This window comes from Homo sapiens, chromosome 8, assembly GCF_000001405.40.
Source record: "Homo sapiens chromosome 8, GRCh38.p14 Primary Assembly".
Lineage (NCBI taxonomy): Eukaryota > Metazoa > Chordata > Mammalia > Primates > Hominidae > Homo > Homo sapiens.
The window spans coordinates 99,667,504-99,693,267 of NC_000008.11; the positions used below are offsets into that span (position 1 = coordinate 99,667,504).

A 25,764-nucleotide genomic window follows, 5' to 3' on the forward strand; every position below is an offset into this window, starting at 1 on the left:
TTTTTTTATTTGAGAGAAGATTAGTTTAAATGATATATCAGCTGTGTGTGACTTCTTCTAAAACACTAACCTAACAGCCTGTAACTGTTCCAGAATTTACTAGCTTAGACAAAAATTTTCCTACTGTAAGCAATTTGTGATTTAGAGTAGATAAGTAGATGTTATTTCATAGAGTAATTATATTGTCTCACTACACAGCCAGATTGGCATGCTACTACATTAATTTAGGAATCAAATGGCTATAGAAGATAGTGAGACTTGCATACCACTAATTAAATGGGAATAACAGGACACATTAAAACAGCTTTTACCATACGAATGTATTATTTTATAGATTTTGGCAACTCAAGGAAATTTTATTTTTTCCAGCTCTTAGGGAATAGGATACTAAGAGGAATGTCATTTATGTTGAGATTGGGCAAACAAATTTCAGCTTTATAATGTTCCCAATAACATTCCCTTTCCTTGAAGAAAAAGCATTACAAAAAAATAATAAAAGCACTACAAGTAATACTTTTTGTTTTTAGGTAATGACATTGTGTTATCATTAGAAATCTTTAGCTATTATTATGTTTTAATCTGTATGCATACCTATTTAAGTATCATTCCAGAGAATGTCTTGAACTATATTAGTAATTTCCACCTATTTTTTTTCTTGTTCTTTAATGAAGGGTATAGTAACAATGAAAGTTATGACCCTGAATTAACCAGGCATGGTGATATGTGCCTGTAGTCCTTGCTACTCAGAGAGCCGAGGTGGGAGGATTGCTTGAGCCCATGAGGTCAAGGCTGAAGTGAGCTATGATCATGCTACTGCACTCCAGTTTGGGCAACAGAGTAAGACCCTGTCTCAAAAAAAAAAAAAAAAAGTTGCAACCCTTAAAGGTAGAGGGAATACTGATTATAACTGCCTAACCTTAAGCTTTCTTCAAAAAGATGTAAACTTCACAGCTTTTGAAATTTAGCCTTTTAGATGTATTTTGCAGGGATTATTTTCTCTAAACAAGGTGATACAAATGCTGCTCTTTAGCATTTGTTTTTAGAAAAATAATGTAGAGTTCTTGAGTATTCCCCTATTTCTTCTGTTCACCTAATGGTACCTTAATAGAGCAAATGGTAGGTCCCAACTTCTACATCAAAAACTCTTTCAAAGCTCTCCCAACCCCCCACCTTTTCCCCTTGTACCCATTAGCAAGGTCAGTGGCTTGGAGAAACCTGGAAAACAGCAGCTACCAGAAACCCACTAGAATAATATCTCCAGCAGGTGATAGATTAGTTGGAACAAATTGGAACCATTGCAGTTCGGCAATCCTGGTTTCTTTCAAGCTGTTTTTAAAATGTCGTCATTTTAATACACAATCTAAACCCTGCGGAACAGTCCACAGCAGGTTAATTTGAATCATATGATGTGTCACTGCCCTCAGCTGACATGAGCTCTATTCCATGTGTGAAGCCATAATAAATCCATTCCCAACCAAGGAAAATTCCCCGTGAGAAGGTGAACTAATCCAGGCCTCACACTGGCATGCTAGCCCTCCATAATTGAAAGCAGGGCCACCTGTTCCCAGCACAGTTAGCCTATAGAAAAAAATTAGCATTAGATCAGATACGTCTTATATTGAAAAATCAATCATACTTCTTGCAAATTCAAATTCATCTGTGAAGTGTTTGGTATGACATCATACAGAAATGTAGGAATGTGCCCACTTGATCCCATTTTAAAAGTTTTTTTAACCATAGGATTCCTTAACTTTGAAATGCAATTTTTTTTTAATTTAATGAGAGCTGACACATGAGAAGAAGAACTGGAAATGGTGCAGATTTTTCTAATTAACTCAGGGTTATTTGCAAAAACATTTGAGCTCTCTGGTATTTTTTTCATTGTTCTTTCACGAATTTTTGAGCCACTGTCATTGTAGCCATGAAATGACATTTAAATGACAACAAAGAACAAAAATGCCACATTGGGAAAACATTCCCAAGTCATTTATGTTTTATTATAAATTAATGCTTAGCATGTCACATTCATCATATAATTTAAATAACATGGTTATATCAAACACAAGACAATGAATGCAATTTCACATTTCTTTTAGTGTAGTATATATGGTGTCTATATTTGAAATGCATGGCCACTGGTCTTTTTCTCCTAATAGAATCACTTCTTTAGTCTCACCCTGTTTAACTCATTCATTAATTTACCTGTCTAGTTGTCAGTGTTTCTGATTTCATTCTGGCTTCTGATTGGTTTCATCTCTGGTTTTATTTGATTTTGATTTTAAGAATCTGTTGACTTGAACTGGTTATAATCCTGTTTTGAATACAGTTTTCTCCTTATATTGTATGGATTAATGTAACTATTTTATAGGTTACAATGATTTTCATTTCTACTTTAAAATAATTCCTAAACATCCTTAAATGATTGCATTTCCACAAACCTTTCTGATTTGAATGAATATTTGTACTTAAATGCTATAAAATAGTAAAAGAGTTCTTAGGTACAGTAACACAGCATTCAAATAGGTTTGTTTATATGAATATAAAGTAGAAATTTTAAGTTGTTTACCCCCAAATAGATGTATTTTTTGAGTGCTTTTGCCTTTCTTGGTTAACCCTGCTTTTATGTTATTACTGAATTTATTACTCAGTGGGGATTAACTCAGACATATCTGAAGGTAACTGATTCAGGAGGATTGAGATACCTGGAAAAGATTAATCAAATAGTGTCTCGATTTTTCTGGAGTAGAAAATGAGGAATAAATAATGTGATTTTTTAATCTTTAAAATTTTTTTCAATTGCAAATTTCAAATGGATTTTTGGTTACCTATTTCAAGCTTTATTGAGGTATAATTGACAAAAATTACAAACATTTAAGGTGTACAGTGTGGTGTTTTGATAAATGTGTCATTGAGAAATGGTTACCATATTCAAGCTAATTAATATATTTATCACCTCACATAGTTACAACTTTTTATTTGTGGTGAGAACCCATAAGATCTCCTCTTTTACCAAGTTGTAAGTATATAATACAGTAGTATTTATTAATTTTAGTCATAATGCTGTAGATTAGATCTCCAGAGCTTATACATCCTGCAAAACTGAAACTTTGTACCCATTCACCAACCTCTCCATATTGTCCCTTCCCCTAGCCCCTGGCAACAAACATTCTAATGTCTCCTTTTATAAGTTTGACATTTTTACGTTCCATATATAAGTGAAATCATGCAGTTTTTGTCTATTTCTGTTTGGTTTATTTCATTTAGCATAATATCTTCAAGTTCATCCATGTTGTCTCAAACGGCAGGATTTCAATCTTTTTAAGGAGTGAATGCTATTCTATTGTAAATATCTACCACATTTTCATCCTCTGTTCATCCACTGATGAATACTTAGGTTGATTCTACATCTTGACTATTATGAATTGTGCTGCAGTAAACATAGGAGTGCAAATATATCTCTTCGGCACACTGGTTTCATTTCCTTTGGATCTATACCCATTAGTGGGATTACTGGATCATATGGTAGTTATATTTTTAATTGATTGAGGAATCTCCATATTGTTTTCCATAATGGCTGTACCAATCTATATTCCCACCAACAATGTGCAAGGATTTCCTTTTCTCCACATCCTTGCCAACACTTGTTATGTTTTGTCTTTTTGATAATAGCCATTCTAGCAGGAATGATGTGGTCTTTCATGATTTTGATTTGTATTTCTCTGATGGTTAGTTATATTGAGCCCTTTTTCATATACCTGTTGGCCATTTGTATGTCCTCTTTTGAGAAATGTCTATTTAGGTCTTTTTCCTATTTTTAAAATTTGGTTCTTTGTCTTCTTGCTATTGTGTTGTTTGAATTTCTCATATATTTTAGACATTAACCTCTTATATAGTTTACAGATATTTTCTCCCATTCTGTAGGTTATCTCTTCATACTATTGGTTGTTTTCTTTGCTAGGCAGAAGCTTCTTAGCTTGTTGTAATCCTATTTTTGCTTTTGTTGCTGGTGCTTTTCAGATAATATCCAGAAAATCACCGTCCAGACCAATATCATAGAGCTTTTCCCCTGTGTTTTCTTCTAGTAGTTTCGTAGTTTTTGGTCTTACTACATTTAAGTCTTCAATCTATTTTGAAGCTTTTGGGTTTGTTTGTTTGTGTTTTTTGATTTTTGAGTGACGGAGTCTCACTCTGTTACCTAGGCTGGAGTGCGGTGGTGTGATCATGGCTCACTGCATCCTCTAACTCCTAGTGTCAAGGGATCCTCCTGCCTCAGCCCCCCAAGTTTAGTTGACTTTTGTACATAGTGAGAGATAAGGATCTACTTTCATTCTTCTGCATGGGCTAGCTAGCTTTCCCAACAGCATTTATTGAAGAGACCATCCTTTCCCCATTTTGTGTTCTTGACACCTTTGTTGAGAACTAATTAGCTAATACATGGATTTCTTTCTGGGTTCTCTATTCTGTTCCATTGGTTTGTGTGCCTATTTTTATGCCAGTACTATACTGTTTTGGTTATAGTTTTATAGTATATTTTTTGAAGTCAGACAGTGTGATGCTTCTAGCTTTGTTCCTTTTGCTCAAGATTGCTTTGGTTATTCAGGGTCTTTTATGGTTCCACATAAATTTCAGGATTGCTTTTTCTATTTCTGTGAAGAATGTTTTTGATACTTTGATAGCAGTTTCATTGAATCTGTAGATCAATAGCATGGGCACATCAATAGCATGAGTAGGATGGACATTTTAATAATATTAATTCTTCCAGTTCATGAACACAGGATATCTTTCCATTGATCACCGTTTTATAGTTTTCAGTGTACAGATTTTTCACATCCTTGGTTAAATGTATTCCTAAGTATTTAATAATTTTTTTAGCTATTATGAAATGAGATTGTTTTCTTAGTTTCTTCTTCAGATAGCTCTCTGTTAGTGTATAGAAATGCTATAGGTTTTTGTATGCTGATTTTTAATCACGCAAATTCACTGAATTCTAACAGTTTTTAGAATGTATTAATTCTAACAGTTTTCTGGTCAAGTTTTTAAGGTTTTCTATATATAAGAAAACCTTAAATGTTATAAGGTTATCTGTGGAGACAATTTAAATTCACCTTTTCCTATTTGGATTCCTTTTATTTCTTTCTCTTACCTAATTGCTTTGTCTAGGATTTCCAATACTATGTGGAATAAGAGTGGTGAGAATGGCCATTCTTGTAGGGTTCTAGATTTTAGAGAAAAAGCTTTCAACTTTTCCCTGTTCAATATGATGTGACCTGTGAATTTGTCACATATGGCCTTTATTGTGTTGTGGTATGTTCCTTCTATACCTAATTTTTTGAGAGTTCTTATCACGAAGGGATTTTGAATTTTGTCAAATGCTTTTTCTGCACCTGTTGAAATGATCATATGGTTTTTGTCCTACATTCTGTTAATGTGATGTATCACATTTATTGATCTGCATATGTTGATCATACCTGTGATGACACCCGCTTGATCACGAGTAGATTTTTAATGTATTTTAAATTCCGTCTACTACTATTTTGTTGAGGGTTTTTACATCTATGTTCATCCTGGATATTGGCCTGAAGTTTTCTTTTTTTAGCATGTCTTTGTCTGGTTTTCATATCAGGCTAATACTGGCTTATAGAATAAATTTGGAAATATTTCCCTCTCTTCAGTTTTTTGGAAGAGTTTGAGAAGAATTGGTGGTATTAGATATTTAAGTACTGAGTAGAATTCAGTGGTGAAGTCATTGGACCCTGGGCATTTTTTTGATGGGAGATTTTTTATTACTGATTCTATCTCCATACTCATTATTGGTTTGTTCAGGTTTTCTGTTTCTTCATTATCTATTCTTGGTACATTGTATGTGTCCCGGAATTTATCCATTAGGTTATTCAATTTGTTGGCATATAATTGTTCATGTTATTCCCTAAGGATTCTTTGTATCAGTTGTAATGTCTCCTTTTCCATCTCTGATTTTATTTATTTGAGTCTTCTCTTTTTTGTTCTTAGTCTAGCTAAAGGTTTGCCTGTTTTTTCAAAAGACTGGTTCTTTGTTTCTCTGATCTTTTCTATTATTTTTGTAGTCTCTATTTCATTTATTTCTGCTCTGATCTTTATTTTATTTCCCTCCTTCTACTAATTTGGGGCTTTGTTTGTTCTTGTTTTTCTAGTTCCTTGTGTTGTAATGTGAGATTGTTTATTTTAGCTCTTTCTTCATTTATACTGTAGGTATTTACTGCTGGAAAATTCCCCTCTTAGAACTGCTTTTGCTATATCCTTTAGGTTTAGGTATATGGAAACACCATTTCATTTGTCTCAAGAAATTTTTAAATTTTTCTTTTAATTTCTTCATTGATTCATTGATCATTCAGGAGCATGTTATTTAATTTCCATAAACTTGTGAATTTTCTGAAATTCTTCCTGTTATTGGTTGCTAGTTTTATACCATTGTTTTCAGAAAAGATACTTACTATGATTGCAGTCTTCTTAAATTTGTTAAGACTTGTGATCTGTCTTGGAGGATGTTCCATGTGCAATTAAGCAGAATGTGAATTCTGCAGCTTTTGGATGGAACATTCTGTATATGTTTGTCAGGTTCAAATGTTCTAGATTGCAGTTTAAGTCTGATGTTTCCTGTTTAATTTTCTGTCTGGATGGTCTACCCATTGCTGAAAGTAAAGTGTTAAAGTCCTCCACTATTATTAAATTGCAGTCTATCTCTCCCTTTAGATCTAGTAATATTTGCTTTATATATTTAGATGCTGCAGTGTTAGGTACCTATATACTACAATGTTATGCCGTCTTGCTGAACTAATGCCTTTGTCATTATATAGGACTTGCATTATCTCTTTTTACAGTTTTCACTTAAAGTATGATATAAGTATAGCTACTTTTACTATTTTTGGGTTTCCATTTGCATGGAATATCTTTTTTCATTCCTTCACTTTTAACCTATGTGTGTTCTTATAAGTGAATTGAGTCTCTTGTAAGCAGCATATAGTTGGGTGTGTTTTTATAATCTATTAATTTGCTCTTTCTTTTCATTGGTGAACGTAAGCCATTTACATTCAAGGTAGTTATTGAAAGGTAAGGACTAAGTACTGCCATTTTGTCAATTGTCTTCTGGTTGTCTTATGGACTCTTTGTTTCTTCCTCTCGCTGTCTTTCTTTGTGGTTAAGTAAGTTTTCTCTATTGGTATATTTTGATTTCTTGCTTTTTAATTTTTTGTGTATCTGCATGGTTATCATGAGGCATATCAAAAAATCTTATAGTTATAACAGGTTATTTTAAGCTAATAACAATTTATCTTTGATCATGTACACAAAAAACCTCTACTCTTATACTCCACTACCTCCCTCCACATTTTGAATGTTATTTAAAAATTTACATATTTGTATATTGTATATTCCTTAACAAATTAGTGTCATTAATATTTTTATCTTTGAACCTTTACACTAAAGATATAATTTACACACCACCATTACAATATTAGAATAGTCTGCATTTGATGGTATATTTTTACCAGTGAGTTTTATACTTTCAGATGTTGTTGCGTTATTATCATCCTTTTCTTTCAGCTTGAAAAAAACTCCTTAGCATTTATTGTAATGCAGGTCTGGTGGTGATTAACTCCCTCAGCTTTTGTTTGTCCAGGAAAGTTTTTATCTCTCTTTCATTAAAGGGCAGCTTTGCTAGATACAGTATTCTTGGTTTGCAGGTTAGTTAATTAGTTTGTTTTCCAGCTCTTTGAATATATCATCCCACTCTCCTCTGGCCTGTAAGATTTATTCTCTGTTGAGAAGTGTGCTGCTCAGTGTATTAGAATATCCTTCTATATTCTTTGCTTCTTTCTTCTTGCTGCTTTCAGGATCCTGTCTTTGTCTTTGATCTTTGATAGTTTGATTGTAATATGTCTTTGGGTAATCTTATTTGGATTGAATCTGATTGAAGACCTTTGAGCTTCTTGTACCTGAATATTTATATATTTCTCCAGGTTTGGAAAGGGTTCTGCTGTTCTTTATTTACATATGCTTTCTACCCCTTTATCTATCTCTATTCTCTCTTGAATACCAGTGACCAAGAATTTACCCTTTTGATGCTGTCCCATGAATCCTGTAAGCTTTCTTCGTTCCTTTACTGTGTATTTTTTGCCTGTATATTTTCAAATAATCTGCCTTTGAGTTCATAGATTGTTTCTTCTGCTTGATCAATTCTGCTGTTGATATTCTCTTTTTTATCTTTCATTTAGCTCATTGTATTTTTCAGCTGTGGGATTTCTGGGGGTTTTTCAAATTATTCTTTCAATCTCTTAAATTTCTCATTCTGGTCATTTATTGTTTTTCTTATGTTGTTGAATTGTTTATCTGTTTTCCTGAGGCTTATTGAGTTTCCTTAAAGCAATTATTTTGAATTACTTGTCAAGCAGTTCATATATCTCTATTTTTCAGGGGTCGGTCACTAGCACTCTATTTTGTTTGGTGATGTCATGTTTCTAGTTTTGTTTTTTTTTATTCTTGTGGTCATGCATCAATGTCTGGATATTGAAGAAGTAGGTTCTTATTCCAGTCTTTGCAGTCTGGCTTTGTCTGAGAATGCCCTTCAACAGTAAGCCTGTCTAGAACTTTTTGGTCATGTTGTCTGGCATTGTCCCTAAGTCCATGATTGCCACAGCCATCAAAGCTCTAGAGGGCACCCTACACCCAGGCCTGCCACACCAGCCCAACACCAGGATGGAATCCCGTGGCCACCAAGGTTGGCACAGTGCTGGGGCATACTCAAAGCCCATGGCCATTCAGGTTTGTCTGAAACCAAAGGCCTTGTAGACAGCTGGTAGTGATTCAGGCCAGTGATCAAGTCTATTTCATAGGGGCTATGGGATCCTGCCTAGCACTGGGACAGGTCAAGAGGCTCAGTACATGGGTACTGACCTAAATAAGGGGCTACAAGAGTCTGCCTGATGCTAGATTTTACTATGGCAGGCCCAGTGGTGGAGACCAAGACAAAGTCTTACATTCACTTCCTTCTAGTTCCCCCAAGCAGACGGTGTCTCTCTGAATTTGCTACTTGGGGATAGGGGAGAGTTGACACAGAGAATGTCCTTCCTACTCTCTTAAGTACATCTTTTCATATTATTATGATATAACAAGGTACTGTGATCGCTCACCTCATTTCTTTAGCTCTTGTGAAGGTATTTTCTTGTGTGAATAGTTGTTCAACATGATGTTGCTATGAGGGGATGATCGCTGAAGAGTCCTATTCCACCATCTTGCTCCACCCTCATAATATGATTTTTAAATGCAAGAAGATTCAAAGCAAAATAAAATATTTTAAGAAGCTAATTTTGGGCTGGGTGCAGAGGCTCACACCTGTAATCCCAGCACTTTGGGAGGCTGCCGTGGGTGGATCACCTGAGGTCAGGAGTTCAAGACCAGCCTGGCCAACATGGCAAAACCCCATCTCTACTAAAATGGACGTGATGGTGCATGCCTGTAATACCAGCTACTTGGGAGGCTAAGGCAGAAGAATCGCTTGAACCCAGGAGGCAGAAGGTGCAATGAGCCGAGATCGTGTCATTGCACTTCAGCCTGGGCAACAAGAACGAAACTCCATCTCAAAAAAGAAAAAAAGAAGCAGCTAATTTTAATAATTTATTTCTGTTCATCTTACCCAAAATATCATTTTTAAATCATATTTAATCCTCTGCCCCTTCTCTCTTGCCAGAAATTGGGCTAAGGCCTATACCTTAATCATGAGAGTCCTGCCTCTATCTTAATTCAATTTTACAGCCATGCTAGCAGGCTATCTTCTACATTTAAGAAATGTAAACTAGTTAATGAAACTGTAAGGACCTTGACTTTTACATTTCCTGAATTTTATGGGTTCCAATTTCCAGTGTCAGTGCTATATTATCATAGTTTGTTTTCTCTGTGATTTATCAAAATGAAACAGTAAACTTGATGTCAGAATGTCAACTACGGAATGGACCAAGAATTTTAAAATAGGGAAAAGCCTTCCATTATTTCAACTTTTGTTTTTCAACTATAACTTTTATTTTAGGAAGAAATGAGAAAAATTACCTAGCTGAAAATGGTGCCCTCAAGGGTTTACACCTCTGAACTACTTGGCTAAGTAATAGACCTCAAAGAGTCATAGAGGCTGGTTGTGCAGTTGGCAGGGAGGTAGGGGGCCAGTACTAGGTCTCATGCAGAGAAGTCAGTAGAGTCGCAGTCATTTAGATTTTTTTTTATTTCTTCATCTAGCCTAATTCTGTTAGAATTATTTCTTCTACAGAAAAGAGTGAGAGTAATTGGGAAATGTCTTCCTAGGAACATGGAGTAAGCCAAGTTAGAAGAGATAAAGAACATTTTCTGGCTTATCCTAACTCTAACTTTCCAACTTTCTGCCTGCAGTTTTTTTCCTTACTCTCCAGCCCCATGCCTTTCCATTGACACAGTCTTGAGCCTTCCTTTCTTATCCCTGTACAATAGTCTCTTTTATGCCAACAACTCCCAAATGCAGCTCTTTTGACTTAATATCTAACTCTAAGACTATTTCTACATATAGGTATTAGGTATACTTTGTTATTTAAACATGTTCACAGTAAATTAAGCCATTTTCTCTCTTCTCTCTCCTTGCTCACTTCTTCCTTTATCATAGTCTTCAAACTTTTTTTTACAACTGCTGATGATAGGAAAAATTTTCTGGTCATGTCCTCTCACAATTTACTACCATCTTCAGGCCATTCTTATTTTTATTTCAAGTCCTTCTACTTTTTTCTTTGAAATAGTCCTCAATTATGCCTGCTACTTCTCTGGTGTAGGCTTAATCCTTGATTACTTCCTCATTCTGTTTACTGGTAGCACTAACTTCAGATTCTCTTATTTACTCAATAATGCTGTCTTCTATGCCCTTACTAGATTTGCCTCCCCTGCCAAATTTATTTGAATCTTAACTACCCCCTTCCTCAGTTGATCCAGTCAAAACTCTCCTCAGCCCCCAACCCTTTGTGCACCTGTTCACTGTATTTCTTACATATAAATTGCTTATTTGGCTTAATCTGATTCTGTTTTTTTTTTTTAAGAAAAACTGTTTTGCAAGAGGTTTTGTATTGCTCTATCAGGAGGCATATAATGTCCAAAGGTCTCTCTTTTTGTGATGCTAGCACCCATTGGTGCTCAATGCCTACATTTATTGGAGGTTGTAAATAGTAATATTCTAATTCTAGCATTCCTTTTCCATATGTTAGCTGGCATACTTCTTTGAAGAGAAGCATTCCCCAACCTACTATTTGAGTATTCAGTAGTATTGCTCATTCAAAAAAGCAGGATAAATGCTTAATTCTTTCCCTTTATTTACCCCTTTTCAAAAATGAGTTCATTCTCTAGCATATTCCAATGGTGGCCAGTTAGTTGATGTTGTTTGATATTATTTTGAACTCATTATTTTTAATAATTCTCAAGTTGTCTCACCATTGGCAGTGAGAATCTCTATAAACTGGCTTCTCTATGTTTTAAACCTTGCTGTTTTCTTAGTCTGCAATTCTTACACCCTTTTTCTTTGCCCACTCTAATTCTCAGCTGCCATTAGGTTAGCCTAAGTCTTGTTTTCTTCTGGAATAGTTTCCCTTTCATTTCCATTCATGCTGATCTCTCCTTTTTCATAAGCAGATTAGTAATACCATTTTCACTAAATTTATCTCAAAACCACTTTTGGCTGTTTCTAAAAATCATGTGTGTCATCAAGGATGAGTATATGCCATCATTGAAATAGTAAAACAAACAAAGGATGACATAGGCACCAAAAAAGATACAAAATTGTTGGAGTAGTGGAATATAGTTATCCCTTATGGTTATTACTAAGAGGGAGGGAAACTTATTTTGATGAGTTTAGTTCAGTACATTTACTTTAGAAATTGGTGCAATTACCCTATAATTAGAACTTTTGTGTTGTGATTTGGGGAGGATTATGAAATTTAGAAAGTCAATGTTTGATCATAAAAATACGTTTCTGAGTAATTTTGCTAGTAGTGATGATGTCCAGATCCCAGTGATAAGTATCATGAACTGCTGCTGACTTATTCAGGTCAAGAACCTTTCATTTCATGTCTCTGAGCTTCCTCATAGCACATAAGACAGCATGTAGCCTGTTCCACTTTGTATACCATCATTAATTAAAGCACACGTCTGCCATCACTGAGGTCTTTACACTTCACACCTTCAATGAAAGCACATTAATCTCATTGTCATGGACAGCTTTCCAGGTTTTCTAGCTCTTATACCTGTGAATACTCCGTCTCCCTTGTCCACTGTCATCATGAATACCTTTACTTGAACACTATAACAAAAACCTGAATTTCAATTGCTGAATAAGAGAAAAAAATATTATGACCTAGTAATAATTTTTTACCAGAGTTATTATAATACATAAGGTCAACCTTGATTATGGGTTTGTTAGTTCTGTGTTTTGCATTTACTAAGATGGTGAATAAAAACATCATTTCTGTGTCTGTACATAGCCACCCGTGTATGCACTGAATGTTTTCTTGTAAGTCTTGCTTGTCTAAAAAATTTTTTATCTTTTGCAAATAAAATTCCACAGGAAGAAACACTTAACAAAGAAGTTTTCTTTCATAAATGTTATGATTTGAGTATAACAAGCCATATTGAATTCATTGGGTTTTTGGTAATAGATTTCATAATACATCATAAATGTAAGTAATATGATGACTAATGGGTCAAGTAAAGTTGGAACATTTTAAATGAGAAAAGAGCTGGAACAGTTCTCAGGAAACTTTTCCAGTTGATGTTTGGTCCCCCACAAGGTGTGCATTAACATAAACTTATGGGAATCACCTCTGGGGCTTGAATTCCCTCTCTGATTTCATTATTACAATGTGATACTTTTCCTTTCACTATTAAGTCATCCTCTAAGATGATAGGAGCATAAAATAAGTATAATTTATTTGCATTTGTCTAATCTTTTAACTCAATAGTCATTCCATCATTCTGTTTCCTGGTAGCTGTTCAGAAAGTTTTGAATGGTAATTAGGATCTAATAATTGGCAGGCATGGGTTTACTTAAAGATACAGAATATGTTCTGAAAATGGTGAGAAATTAGATCTGGCAGAGACATAGATGACTCAGCTGGGAGATTCTCTATTACTGCATATTCCTAAAATCAAAACTTTGAAAATAATCCATTTATTAAAGTTCAATGAGGATTATAACACAATTCTAAACTCTTAAACATAAGTATCTGATAATAATTGGAATAAAATTTATAGTAACAGTCTGTGCCTGGTTCCCTATCCAGTTATATTTCCAGTTCCTGTAAAACATTATTCTTTATAGCTCCCCCTGTGTCTCTGTTGAATAAAACTGTCCTAGTCCATTTCTTTAATGTTGTATCTTAATGATCAGATTAATATTTTTATCAATTTTTTAAAAGTATCAAAAAACAAAATGTGGCTTGCTCAATTTTTACTTTTATTTTTTAAGTTAAAAAATACCAGACACTATTTTTGCATATTTTTTTCTATTTGTAAAAATAATCTTCCTGTCATTATCAGACTGAAAATATTTGCAATGAAGACTAATTTTCTACCAAAAAACTGGCTAGATCAAGGATGTGAAAGTTCAGAGAAACATGTTGATGTACTTTATACAACAATAAACAGTGCTGTTTCACTTGTGATGGTTCTCATTCTGGTGCGTGCCTCCTGTCTTTTGGTGGACCTGGTACTTTTGAAAGGAATACCTGGTATTACAATATAGCCTAATTTCAACTGCTTTTTTGGTTCTTGGCCTATCATCTTTTCCAACTTGCCCAACTGGGACTGCCCTAGCCACTCTGTTCACACATTGCACAGAATATGTTTTGCAAGAAATGTGGCTCAGCACTGTCTCTATGTGGTCCAGTCCCTCCAGGGTGAGGGACTTTGTGGCCTACTAACGTACGTCTTGTACAGAGGTTGCACTGTATGCCCTGTATGGAAACAAATATACAAAAAACATTTGAAAAGTGAATTACTTAAATGTCTTAAATAGCAATTTGTTTCTTATTAAACCTTAACAGAATCATGTGAGTCTAGGAGTTTGAGTCTGCAGTGAGCTAGGATAGTGCCACCACACTCCAGCCTAGGCAACAGACCAAGACCCTGTCTTGAAAAATAAATAAATAAGTTAACATAGCAACTGTTTGGGAATACATATAGCTCTGCTAGATTTTCAAACGTTCTAAAAACTTTCATCAACTGCTGCTCAGTGACTGAGAGGTTGCATTTGTAATCCTTAATTACTAAATTTAAGGTAATCAAAAGAATTAAATTTTGATACATAAATAACACTTTTGACATAACCTTATAGGAAAGATAGATCAAGTGACCAAGTGTCCAAATAAGTAACTCCCTTACCAATCCACTGGTCTGAGAAAGGGTCGTCCAGAAACCAGCACCACAAAAAGTTAACATTAAAAATTCACTGTTCAAATTCACAAAACAAAATAAATCTATAAAAGATTTAAATAATTAAACTTTTCAAATGATGTTTTTTAAATCAGCCTGCAGCATTTTTATGCTGCTGAAGTTATTAAAGTTTAAAATCACACTGAGACTTTTGGGACAAACTATGAGAGACAGAGATCCAAGATTGCTTCAGATTTTTCCTAAAATATTTAGTGCTGTCCAAGCATGGTGGCTCACACTTTAATCCCAGCAATTTGGGAGGCCAAGACGGGTGGATTGCTTGAGACCAGGAGTTTGAGACCAACCTAACCAACATGGCAAAACCCCATTCTACTAAAGATACAAAAAAATTAGCCAGGCATGGTGGTGCATGCATGTAATCCCAGCTTCTGAGATTTAAAAATTAGGCTATCTAAAAATTAGATTATTTTCTCATTGCTGAGTTATAATACTTTTTTATATTTTTTTGATACAAGTCTTTTGTCAGATAAGTAATTTGCAGATATTTTCTCCCAGTACATAGCTTCTCTTTTCATTCTCTTAACACTACCCTTTACAGAGGAAAAGTTTTTAATCTGATGAAGACCAACTTATAAATTTTTAAAATATGCCTTTTTGGTATCATGTATAAGAGACTCAGTACAGAGTTTCTCTGTACTGAGCTGCCTGGAGATGGGGCTAGGGAAGGTAACATCAGCATTGTGGTGGCCACTGTGCTGAGTCATACCTGAAGCCAGCACAGCACTGGGCCTCACCCAAGGCCCGTGATAACCCCTGCCTGGCTATCCGCCTGTGTTCACTCAAGGTCCTAGGGCTCTATAACCTGCCAGGCTTGTGTCCCTCCCTATAGGACACTGAAATTTCTCCAGTCCCAGGTACGTCCAGAGATGCTGTCCAGGAGCCAGGGCCTGGAGTCAGAAACCTTAGGAATCTACTTGGTGCTCCATTCTACTGAGAATGAGCTGACACCCAAGCCACAACTCTAGGACTTGAAGATTTTCTCCTATGTTTTCTTCTTTGAAGACCTTCTAATTTTACATTTTATATTTAAATCCAGGATTCATTTTGAGTTAATTTTTATATACAGTATGAAGTTGAGTTTAAGGTACTTTTTTTTGTATACAGATATTCAACACCATCTGTAAACTACCTTTCTCCATTGAACTGTCTTTGCACCTATTTTAAAAATCAACTAATAATTCTTTGGACCCTATTTCTGGACTCTGTTCTGTTCCACTGAGGTACATATACCCTCTCCAAAACTATACTGTCTTGATCTTAATAGCTGATAGTAAGTCTTAAAATCAGGTAGTTTGAGTCCTCCAATGTTGTTATTCTTTCTCAAAAATGTTTTGGTTATTCTTGTTCCTTTGCTTTACTATGTAAATTTTAGAATCAGCTTTTCTATATTTAAAATAAATATTTCTGGGATTATTGGAATTCTGTGAAATCTACAGATCTGGGAGAAACTGATATATTTACTATGTTGTCTGCCTTCGAATTCATGAATATGGTATGTGTATGGTATGTCTCTCTATTTATGTTGGTCTTTTAAAATTTATTGTCAGCATTTTGTAGTTTTCAGCATACAGATCCTATGACCATTTGATTAGATTTATACCTGTGTTCCTTTTATTTGGATATGTTATAAATACTATCTTTTATTTTAAGGCTTTTTTGTTTTCCACCTGCATATTGTTAGTTTATAGAAACTCAATTGATTTTTGTGTGATGATCTTGTATTCTAAAACTTTGCCAAACTCACTTATTAATTCTGGGAGCTTTTCCGTAGATTCTTATTGGGTTTTCAACATGGACAATTACGTCATCTGCAAATGGGCATCGTTTTCTTTGTTATTTATGCCCTTTTATCTTGCCTTGTTGCACTGTCTATGATTTCCAATACTATGTTGAGTATGAATAATAAGAAGGGACATCCTTGCCTTGTTTCTGTTCTTAGGGGGAAAGCATTCATTTCTTCATAATTATGATGTTAGCTGTAGGCTTTTCATATATAGCCTTCATCAGGTTAAGTTTCCCTCTACCAATAGTTTGCCTAGAGTTATTATAAATGGATATTGAATTTTTCAAAAATGTTTTCTGCATCAATTGATAGTATCTTTGTTATTGTTGTAAACTGTTAATATTTTTACATTGATTGATCAAGGCTTATAGTCCTAGGACAACCCCTGTTTTAGTTGTGGTACATCATTAGTTCTGTATGCTGATGGATTTGATTTGCTACATTTTTTGAGGATTTTTATGTCTCTTCTTGAGGAATATCCATGTATATTGTTTTTTATACTTTCTCCATCTACTTTTAGTATCGGTAATGATGGTCTCATAAAATGAATTAAGAAGTATTCTCTCCTCTTCTATTTCCTGGAGGACAGGGGAATGAAGAAAAGAAAGAAGGAAAACAATAGATTTCCCTAGTCCCTCTGAGCATTAAGAGACTCCTTCACACTCCTTGAAGCCAGAAATAGAGGGCTTCTCCTTGAACTCTCTCTATCTCCACATGATATCCACTTCTGGGCTTTGGGCTGCCATTAGTCTAGGATAAGGGGGTAGGGGAGGAAAAATTAGAAACTCATCACCATTTTGGTAGTATTTTGAATTCTAGTCTTCTTCCTTAGTCTACCTGTTACCATATACTTTTCAAAATTCTCAAATAGCTGCTCTGTGTAGGTTTTATAGCTGGTTTATTGCCAGATTTTGTAACTGCATTCAGTGGAAGAGACAGGTTCCATCATTCCTAGAACTCTGAAATAATTTTTAAAAAGAAAGAGTAGGCAACTGACATCATTAGATGTTTATTTGGTTTTTGGGTTTTTTGTTTGTTTGTTTTTTGTTTTGAGACAGAGTCTTGCTCTGTCGCCCAGGCTGGAGTGCAGTGGCACGATCTTGGCTTACTGCAACCTTCACCTCCCAGGTTCAAGCAATTCTCTGCCTCAGCCTCCCAAGTAGCTGGGATTACAGGCACCTGCCACCAACCTGGCTAATTTTTTGTATTTTTAGTAGAGATGGGGTTTCCCCATCTTGGCCAGGCTGGTCTTGAACTCCTGACTTTGTGATCCACCCGCCTTGGCCTACCAAAGGGCTGGGATTACAGGTATGAGCCACCGCGCCTGGCCCCATTAGATGTTTTTAAGATATATTAGATATTTTTCCTTTCAGGAAAGAGATAAACAAAACTTCAATAAATATACCTAGGTCTTGAAACTTCATTTTAATTGCTTTTGAAACTGGAAATGCCATGTGGGCAATATGCATATGGAATTTGTATTAGTTTTCTATTGATGCATAACAAATTACGACAAATGTAGCAACACAAATTTATCATCTCACAATTCTATGGTTAGAAGTCTAGGTGAGTTCAGCTGGTTCTCTGTTCAGGGTCTCACAAAGCCAAAATCAGACTGTTAGTTGGCCTGGGTTCTAATCTGGGGGCTCCTGGAAAGAATCTACTTTCAAACTTATTCCAGTTATTCACATAATCTAGTTCCTTGTGGCTTTAATATTGAGGTCTCCAGTTCCTTATTAGCTGTTGTCCAAGGGTTGCCTTAAGCCCTAGGGACCACCCATTCATTCTCATTGTCTCCTCTGATTGTGTATTTTCAAACTCACTAATTCTTTCTTCAGCTTGATCAATTCTGCTGTTAAGAGACTCTGATGCATTCTTCAGTATATCAGTTGCATTTTTCAACTCCAGAATTTTTGCTTATTTTAAATTATTTCAATCTCTTTGTTACATTTATCTGACAGGATTCTGAATTCCTTCTCTGCATTGTTTTGAATTTTGCTGAATTTCCTCAAAAGAACTATTTTGAATTCTCTGTCTGAAAGAAAGGTCACATATCTCTATCTCTCCAGGATTAGTCTCTGGTACCTTAGTTTGTTTGGTGAGGTCATGTTTGCCTGGATGGTTTTCATGCTTGTGGATGTTCATCAGTGTCTGGGCATTGGATAGTTAGGTGTTTATTATAGTCTTCATGGTCTGGGCTTGTTTGTACCTGTCTTTCTTAGGAAGGCTTTCCAGGTATACGAAGAGACTTGGGTGTTGTGATCTAAGTTTTTGGTCACTGCAGCCATATCTGCATTAGGGGGCACCCAAAGCCCAGTAACTGTGTGGCTCTTGCAGACTCACAGTGGTGCCACCTTGATGGTCTTGGATAAGATCCAGAAGAATTCTTTGGATTACCAGGCAGAGACTCTTGTTTTCTTCCTTTGCTTTCTCCCAAACAAATAGAGTCTCTCTGTACTGAGCTGCCTGGAGCTGGGGCTAAGGAAGGTAACACAAGCACCGTGGCCACCACAATGCTGGTGGCCACTGTGCTGAGTCATACCCGAAGCCAACACAGCACTGGGCCTCACCCAAGGCTCATGATAACCCCTGCCTGGCTATCCGCCTGTGTTCACTCAAGGTCCTAGGGCTCTATAACCTGCCAGGCTTGTGTCCTTCCCTACAGGGCAGTGAAATTTCTCTTGTCCCAGGTACATCCAGAGATGCTGTCCAGGAGCCAGGGCCTGGAGTCAGAAACCTTAGGAATCTACTTGGTGCTCCATTCTACTGAGAATGAGCTGGCACCCAAGCCACACACAAGAAAAAGTCCTTCCCACTCCTCCCTCCACTTTCCACAAGCAGTGGAGTCTCTCCCCATGGCCACCACCATCCCAGGCCTGCAGCGAGTGCTACGTGGCTACCACAGATGTTCCCACAAGGTCCAAGGGCTCTTCAGTCAACTTGTGGTGAATGCTGCCAGGCCTGAGACTCTCCTCAAGGCAATGAGCTCCCCTCTGGCCCAGGGCAGCCCAGAAATGAAATGCCATCCAAGAACCAAGGCCTGGAATTGGGAATCCCAAGAACCCACTTGGTGCTCTTTCCCACTGTGGGCTAGCTGGTACCTAAGCTGCAAGACAAACTACCCTTCACTTTTCTATCTCCTTTTCTCAAGCAGGAATCCCTCCCTATAGCCATCACAGCTGGGAATGTGCTGGGTCACAGCTCAAACCAGCATATCTTTGAGTGTCTCACCCAGGGCCCATGGTGAGTATTGCCTGGGTGCTACTGCTAATTATTTAAGGCCTAATGGCTCTTCAGTCAGCAGGTGATGAATCCTGCAAGGACTGGGTCCTTCTCATCAAGGCACGGTTCCCTTCTGGCCCAAGGTGTGTCTACAAATGTCATTTGGGAGCTAGGGACTAGAATGGAGGCCTCAGGACTCTGCCTGGTGCCTTATCCTGCTGTGGCTGAGCTGGTATCCAAGCTGCAAGACAAAGTCCCCTTTACTCTCCCTCTCCTCTCCCAGAGCTGCGAGCTGTGCTGCCTGGATTGGAGGAGGGGTGGCACAAGCACTCCCTTAGCTGCCCCATCTGGTGTCTGACTGGATTGCATGCCCCCCAAGTTCACTGGCTCCTAGCCCAGCACAGAACCAGGACTTAACCCAGAATTGCAGTTCTTGTGGCCTAGACTGCCTTTCAGGTTTATTTAGGACCCCAGAGCACTTTAGCCTGCAGTGGCAAGGCTTGCCAGAACTCAGGTTCTGCCCACAGGATGGTTCTCCTGTGGCTAGGGATGGTCTAAATACTCCCTCTGTGGGTACCAGCTGAGCTCTGCCTGGTATTGATTTCCACTGTAACAGGGCAGCATGAGTTCCAATGCCAAGTCCCACAATCACTACTCTCTCCCGCCCACAAATGCACAGATTCTCTCTCTGTGCCACACAGCCACCCTTGCGGAGATGGAATAGGGTTGGCATCCACAGTTCAAGACTGTCTTTCCTACCGTCTTCAGTACCTCTTTCAGTGATACAAAGTTAAAAACAGGTACGGTGATTGCTTACCTGACTTTTGGTTCTTGTTAAGTTCCTTTTTTTTTTATGGATAATTGTTCATTTTGGTGTTGCTGTGAGCAGGGTGATTGGTGGAGGCTTCTATCCAGCTGTCTTGCTCTGCCTCCCTCTTGGCCTAGCCTTGTGAATGAACTTCTTGGAGAAAATGCTGAAGCAGTATCCCAATGATTAAACTGGCAAAGAAAGGGTACATTAGATAAAGGGAACAATATGAACAAGGCCTAGTGATATAACAGCATGGGTTGGGGGAAGTGGGCTCTGCAAACTCAGATATTATAAGGAAAGGCAAGAACTCTTTCTTGCTTCCTTGCTTGCTTTTTTTTTTTTTTTTTTTTATCTGAGGAGCTTGTTCTTTTGTTTCTTAGGTAAGGAGGAGGCAATAAAGAGTTTTAAACAGGAGTGAGCCACTCAGAATTGCATTTAAAACAAATTATTTGGAAATCACTCTGTGGAGACTAGATTAAATCTAAAGACAATTGGTCTAGACAGGGGAACCATTTAGGAGGCTTTATAATAACTGAACGATATCAAAAACATGGTGGAGGAAAATAGGGACTGGATGGAATGCTGGAGAGAAGGGGATTGGAATCAAGCAATGTTTTGGAACTAAAATTGACAGAACTTAATCAGTTTTTGGCTTGGGACCAGATAAAGAGGGAATGAAATGAGGAGTCAAAAAGTCAGATTTCTGACTAAAGCCACTTGGTGGATTATAGAACCATTAACTAAGACAGGGAATACAGCATGTCTGAGAGGAGTTAATGGATTGCTTGGATAAATTAATTTGACGAGCCTGTGAGAGTTCAGGAGAAAATGGCGACAGACTTGCATTCACTCATATTTTCTTCATTACATCATTAAACATTGTGGGGCCATAGGCTTTTGGCCCCCTAAAGGTTATCTGAAAATCACTGACATGTGGCAGATTGATTAATAGAAAAGCCATACAAATGTATGTAATGTATATACATGGGAGCCTTCAGCGTGAACATCCAGCATCCCAACAAGGTACAGAAGCTTATATATCATCTCGAGGTCACAGAAAGAATGAGGCTTGGATCCTGGTAAAACAGGTTATGGGAAGGGATAGAACAGAAATTCTATTGAGGGGCAATAAATGATTACTAGGGAGAATGACTGGATCAGAGAGCAGAGAATAACTTGTAAATAGTTATCTTTGTAACTTAAATGACCTTGGGATAGTCACTATCTTGAAAAAGGGACTGTTCAGGTGTGGTTACATTTTTGGTCTTCTTTCCGGTAAAGAATAATGAGATAATAAAGAGGGGAACAAGAACAATTGTTCTCCTTGGTGGGGCGGTTTCATCTTTATATAGATAGCAGAAATGTCTCTTCTAGTACTTGTTAATCTCTAAGAGTTTTTAATTTAAAATACTCATCACAACTGGGAACCATATTTTGAAATGAAATATTTTTACCTCCTTCAGCATTCAGTTAGTACTTCCTGTAGATCAAACAGTAGTTTAGGTATTTAGAATATTAAAATATAGGACAGTCCAGGAGCTCACAGCTCACTGAACTATGACAGATACCTAAGTAGGTAACTACAAAAATAATATCAGTAGGTGCCTGGTAATGGCAAAATGCACAGGATATTCCAAAAGTAATGATGAGAGGCACCTCACTCATCAACAAGGGTCAAGAAGGGTGTGCTGGCCAAAGTGATCCAAAGTCTGAGTCTCAAAAAAAAAGTTAGCGCTTGGCACAGTGGTGCACACCTGTAGTCCCAGCTACTTAGGAGGCTGAGGCGGGAGGATCACTTGAGCCTGGGAGTTTGAGGCCAACCTGGGCAACATAATGGGATCCAATCTATTGAAAAAAGAGAAAGACAAGTTAAGCAAGCAGCCAGAGTTATAAATAGTTTTTTTCTGTGTCCCTGGGACCACAATGGTGCCTGAGATATGAGGGTAGCAATCAGCAGCTTTAGTATTTACCTCTCTATGGATGCTTTGCCAGTCTGCAGTCAGGGAAAATGGATCCCTTAGGTTCAGCAGTTGGTTTATGTGGATATTTGGGCAACCTCCTGGGTAGGTTACTAAATTGTTTCTACAGAATGAGTACTTCTGACCCTTCTTTAGTTTTCATTTTATACACCCAAGAAAAAGACAGTTTCAGGATCGAACATCTGAGTCTTCTTTCTACTTTAGCTTTGTTTTGTTTTTGTTCTAATGATCATCTGTTAAAATTGCACCTTTTTTTTATTGTTGTTAAAGGTATTATTTTCTGTGAGGTCATAGAATTTGGAAGCCCACATACAGGGATGCAGAGGCAAATGTGTGAGTCATTTTAGCCATCCAATTTATCTAAAATATTTTTCCCACCAGCCTCTTCCAGTACCCCAAATTCTACAAGTCAAAAATAAAAATAATGCCTTTCAACAAATGTTGCTGACATAACTAGATATCCACACATAAAAGAATGAAGTTGAACCCCTACCTCATACAGTATACACACAGCACTAATTCAGGAAAGATCGTAGACTTACATTTAAGAGATAAAACTGTAAAACTCTTAAAAGAAGACATAGGTGTAAATCTTTGTGACTTTGGGTTAAACAATGGTTTCTTGGTATGACACCAAAAGCACAAGCAAAATAACAAACATATTGGACTTTGCAAAAATTAAACTGTTTTGTGCTGCAAAAAAGTGAAGATAATCCACAGAATGGGAGAAAATATTTGCAAATCATATATCTGATACAATATTTGCAAAGTATATATCTGATATGATATATCTGATATTTGCAAATCATGTATCTATATATATCAAATATAATAATCTTATATTTTATATCCAAAATATAAAAAGAACTCCTACAATTCAATAATAAAAGGACAAATAACCAAATTTAAAAATGAGCAAAGGGTTTGAATAGATATTTCTCCAAGAATATATACAGTCAATAAGCACATGAAAAAATGCTGAACATCATTAGTAATTAGGGAAATACAAATCAAAATCACAATGGGATAGTCCTTCACGCTCACTAGGATAACTGCAGTCAAATATGTCTTAGCAGTTCCACTGCTACGTACATATTTCAGAAAATTAAAAAGCAAATTTGCACACACATATTCATAGCAGCATTATTCATCATCACCAAAAACTGGAAACAACCCAAATGTTTATTAACTGATAATGGATAAGCAGAATGTGATATATGCTTATGTTGTAATACTGTTCAGCCACAAAATGGAATGAAGTATTGATACATGTTTCAACATGGATGAACCTTGGAAGCATTATGCTATATGAAGGAAACCGGGTACAAAAATCACATATTATATGATTCCATTTCTATGAAATGTCCTGAATAGGCAAATCTATAGAGACAGAAAGAAAATTAGTGGTTTCTTGGGGCTGGAGGGGAGCATGAGTGAGGAGTGACTGCTCAGTAGTATGGGATACTGTGTGTGTGTGTGTGTGTGTGTGTGTTGATTATGATGTTCTGGGATTAGACAGTGGTGATGGTTGCACAAACTTGTGTATACTAAAAACAATAAATTGTATGCTATTGAAAGGTAATTTTTGTGGCATGTGAGTTATATGTCAATAAGGTGTTTTAAAAAATAATTCCTTTACATTAAGGTGTTTTTCCTGTTTAAAAACATGGGGAGAAAGGAACATTTTAGTATTGTGCACGGGTGACTCAAGTTTCTGACCCTTTCCAATGCACAACTAGCTGTAAACAAGACTCAGAGTTTTGTTAGGCCTGATAAGAAAATACAGTGTCAGCCGCTGCAAAATCATGCCAAAATGTAAAGACCATCGAGACTAGGAAGAAACTGCATCAACTAACGAGCAAAATCACCAGCTAACATCATAATGACAGGATCAAATTCACACATAACAATATTAACTTTAAATGTAAATGGACTAAATGCTCCAATTAAAAGACACAGACTGGCAAGTTGGATAAAGAGTCAAGACCCATCAGTGTGCTGTATTCAGGAAACCCATCTCACATGCAGAGACACACATAGGCTCAAAATAAAAGGATGGAGGAAGATCTACCAAGCAAATGGAAAACAAAAAAAGGCAGGGGTTGCAATCCTAGTCTCTGATAAAACAGACTTTAAACCAACAAAGATCAAAAGAGACAAAGAAGGCCATTACAGAATGGTAAAGGGATCAATTCAACAAGAGGAGCTAACTACCCTAAATATATATGCACCCAATACAGGAGCACCCAGATTCATAAAGCAAGTCCTGAGTGACCTACAAAGAGACTTAGACTCCCACACATTAATAATGGGAGACTTTAACACCCCACTGTCAACATTAGACAGATCAACGAGACAGAAAGTCAACAAGGATACCCAGGAATTGAACTCAGCTGTGCACCAAGCGGACCTAATAGACATCTACAGAACTCTCCACCCCAAATCAACAGAATATACATTTTTTTCAGCACCACACCACACCTATTCCAAAATTGACCACATAGTTGGAAGTAAAACTCTCCTCAGCAAATGTAAAAGAACAGAAATTATAACAAACTATCTCTCAGACCACAGTGCAATCAAACTAGAACTCAGGATTAAGAATCTCACTCAAAGCCGCTCAACTACATGGAAACTGAACAACCTGCTCCTGAATGACTACTGGGTACATAACGAAATGAAGGCAGAAATAAAGATGTTCTTTGAAACCAGTGAGAACAAAGACACAACATACCAGAATCTCTGGGACGCATTCAAAGCAGTGTGTAGAGGGAAATTTATAGCACTAAATGCCCACAAGAGAAAGCAGGAAAGATCCAAAATTGACACCCTAACATCACAATTAAAAGAACTAGAAAAGCAAGAGCAAACACATTCAAAAGCTAGCAGAAGGCAAGAAATAACTAAAATCAGAGCAGAACTGAAGGAAATAGAGAAACAAAAAAACCCTTCAAAAAATCAATGAATCCAGGAGCTGGTTTTTTGAAAGGATCAACAAAATTGATAGACCGCTAGCAAGACTTATAAAGAAAAAAAGAGAGAAGAATCAAATAGACACAATAAAAAATGATAAAGGGGATATCACCACCGATCCCACAGAAATACAAACTACCATCAGAGAATACTACAAACACCTCTACACAAATAAACTAGAAAATCTAGAAGAAATGGATACATTCCTTGACACATACACTCTCCCAAGACTAAACCAGGAAGAAGTTGAATCTCTGAATAGACCAATAACAGGCTCTGAAATTGTGGCAATAATCAATAGTTTACCAACCAAAAAGAGTCCAGGACCAGATGGATTCACAGCCGAATTCTACCAGAGGTACAAGGAGGAACTGGTACCATTCCTTCTGAAACTATTCCAATCAATAGAAAAACAGGGAATCCTCCCTATCTCATTTTATGAGGCCAACATCATTCTGATACCAAAGCCGGGCAGAGACACAACCAAAAAAGAGAATTTTAGACCAATATCC

General features: G+C 36.7%; 1 protein-coding gene and 1 long non-coding RNA gene across 3 annotated transcripts in view, besides 1 other annotated feature; one reads left to right on the top strand and one right to left on the bottom strand.

The window, feature by feature from the left end:
- Positions 1-22,096, bottom strand: part of LOC124901989 (uncharacterized) — a 34,027-nt gene extending 11,931 nt beyond the window's left edge. Inside the window, exons 1-2 of the long non-coding RNA XR_007061026.1 lie at positions 22,055-22,096; positions 20,307-20,488 (exon numbers count right to left, since the gene is read on the bottom strand). This is a non-coding gene — a long non-coding RNA (uncharacterized LOC124901989). The remainder of the gene's footprint in view (positions 1-20,306; positions 20,489-22,054) is intronic.
- Positions 1-25,764, top strand: part of VPS13B (vacuolar protein sorting 13 homolog B) — an 864,307-nt gene that overhangs the window by 654,230 nt on the left and 184,313 nt on the right. The window lies entirely within an intron of this gene.
- Positions 678-2,078: an enhancer, noted in NCBI's record as "VISTA enhancer hs909". NCBI's record gives its function as "enhancer in: dorsal root ganglion[5/10] | other[8/10]" and the evidence as "EXISTENCE:transgenic organism evidence [ECO:0001131][PMID:17130149]".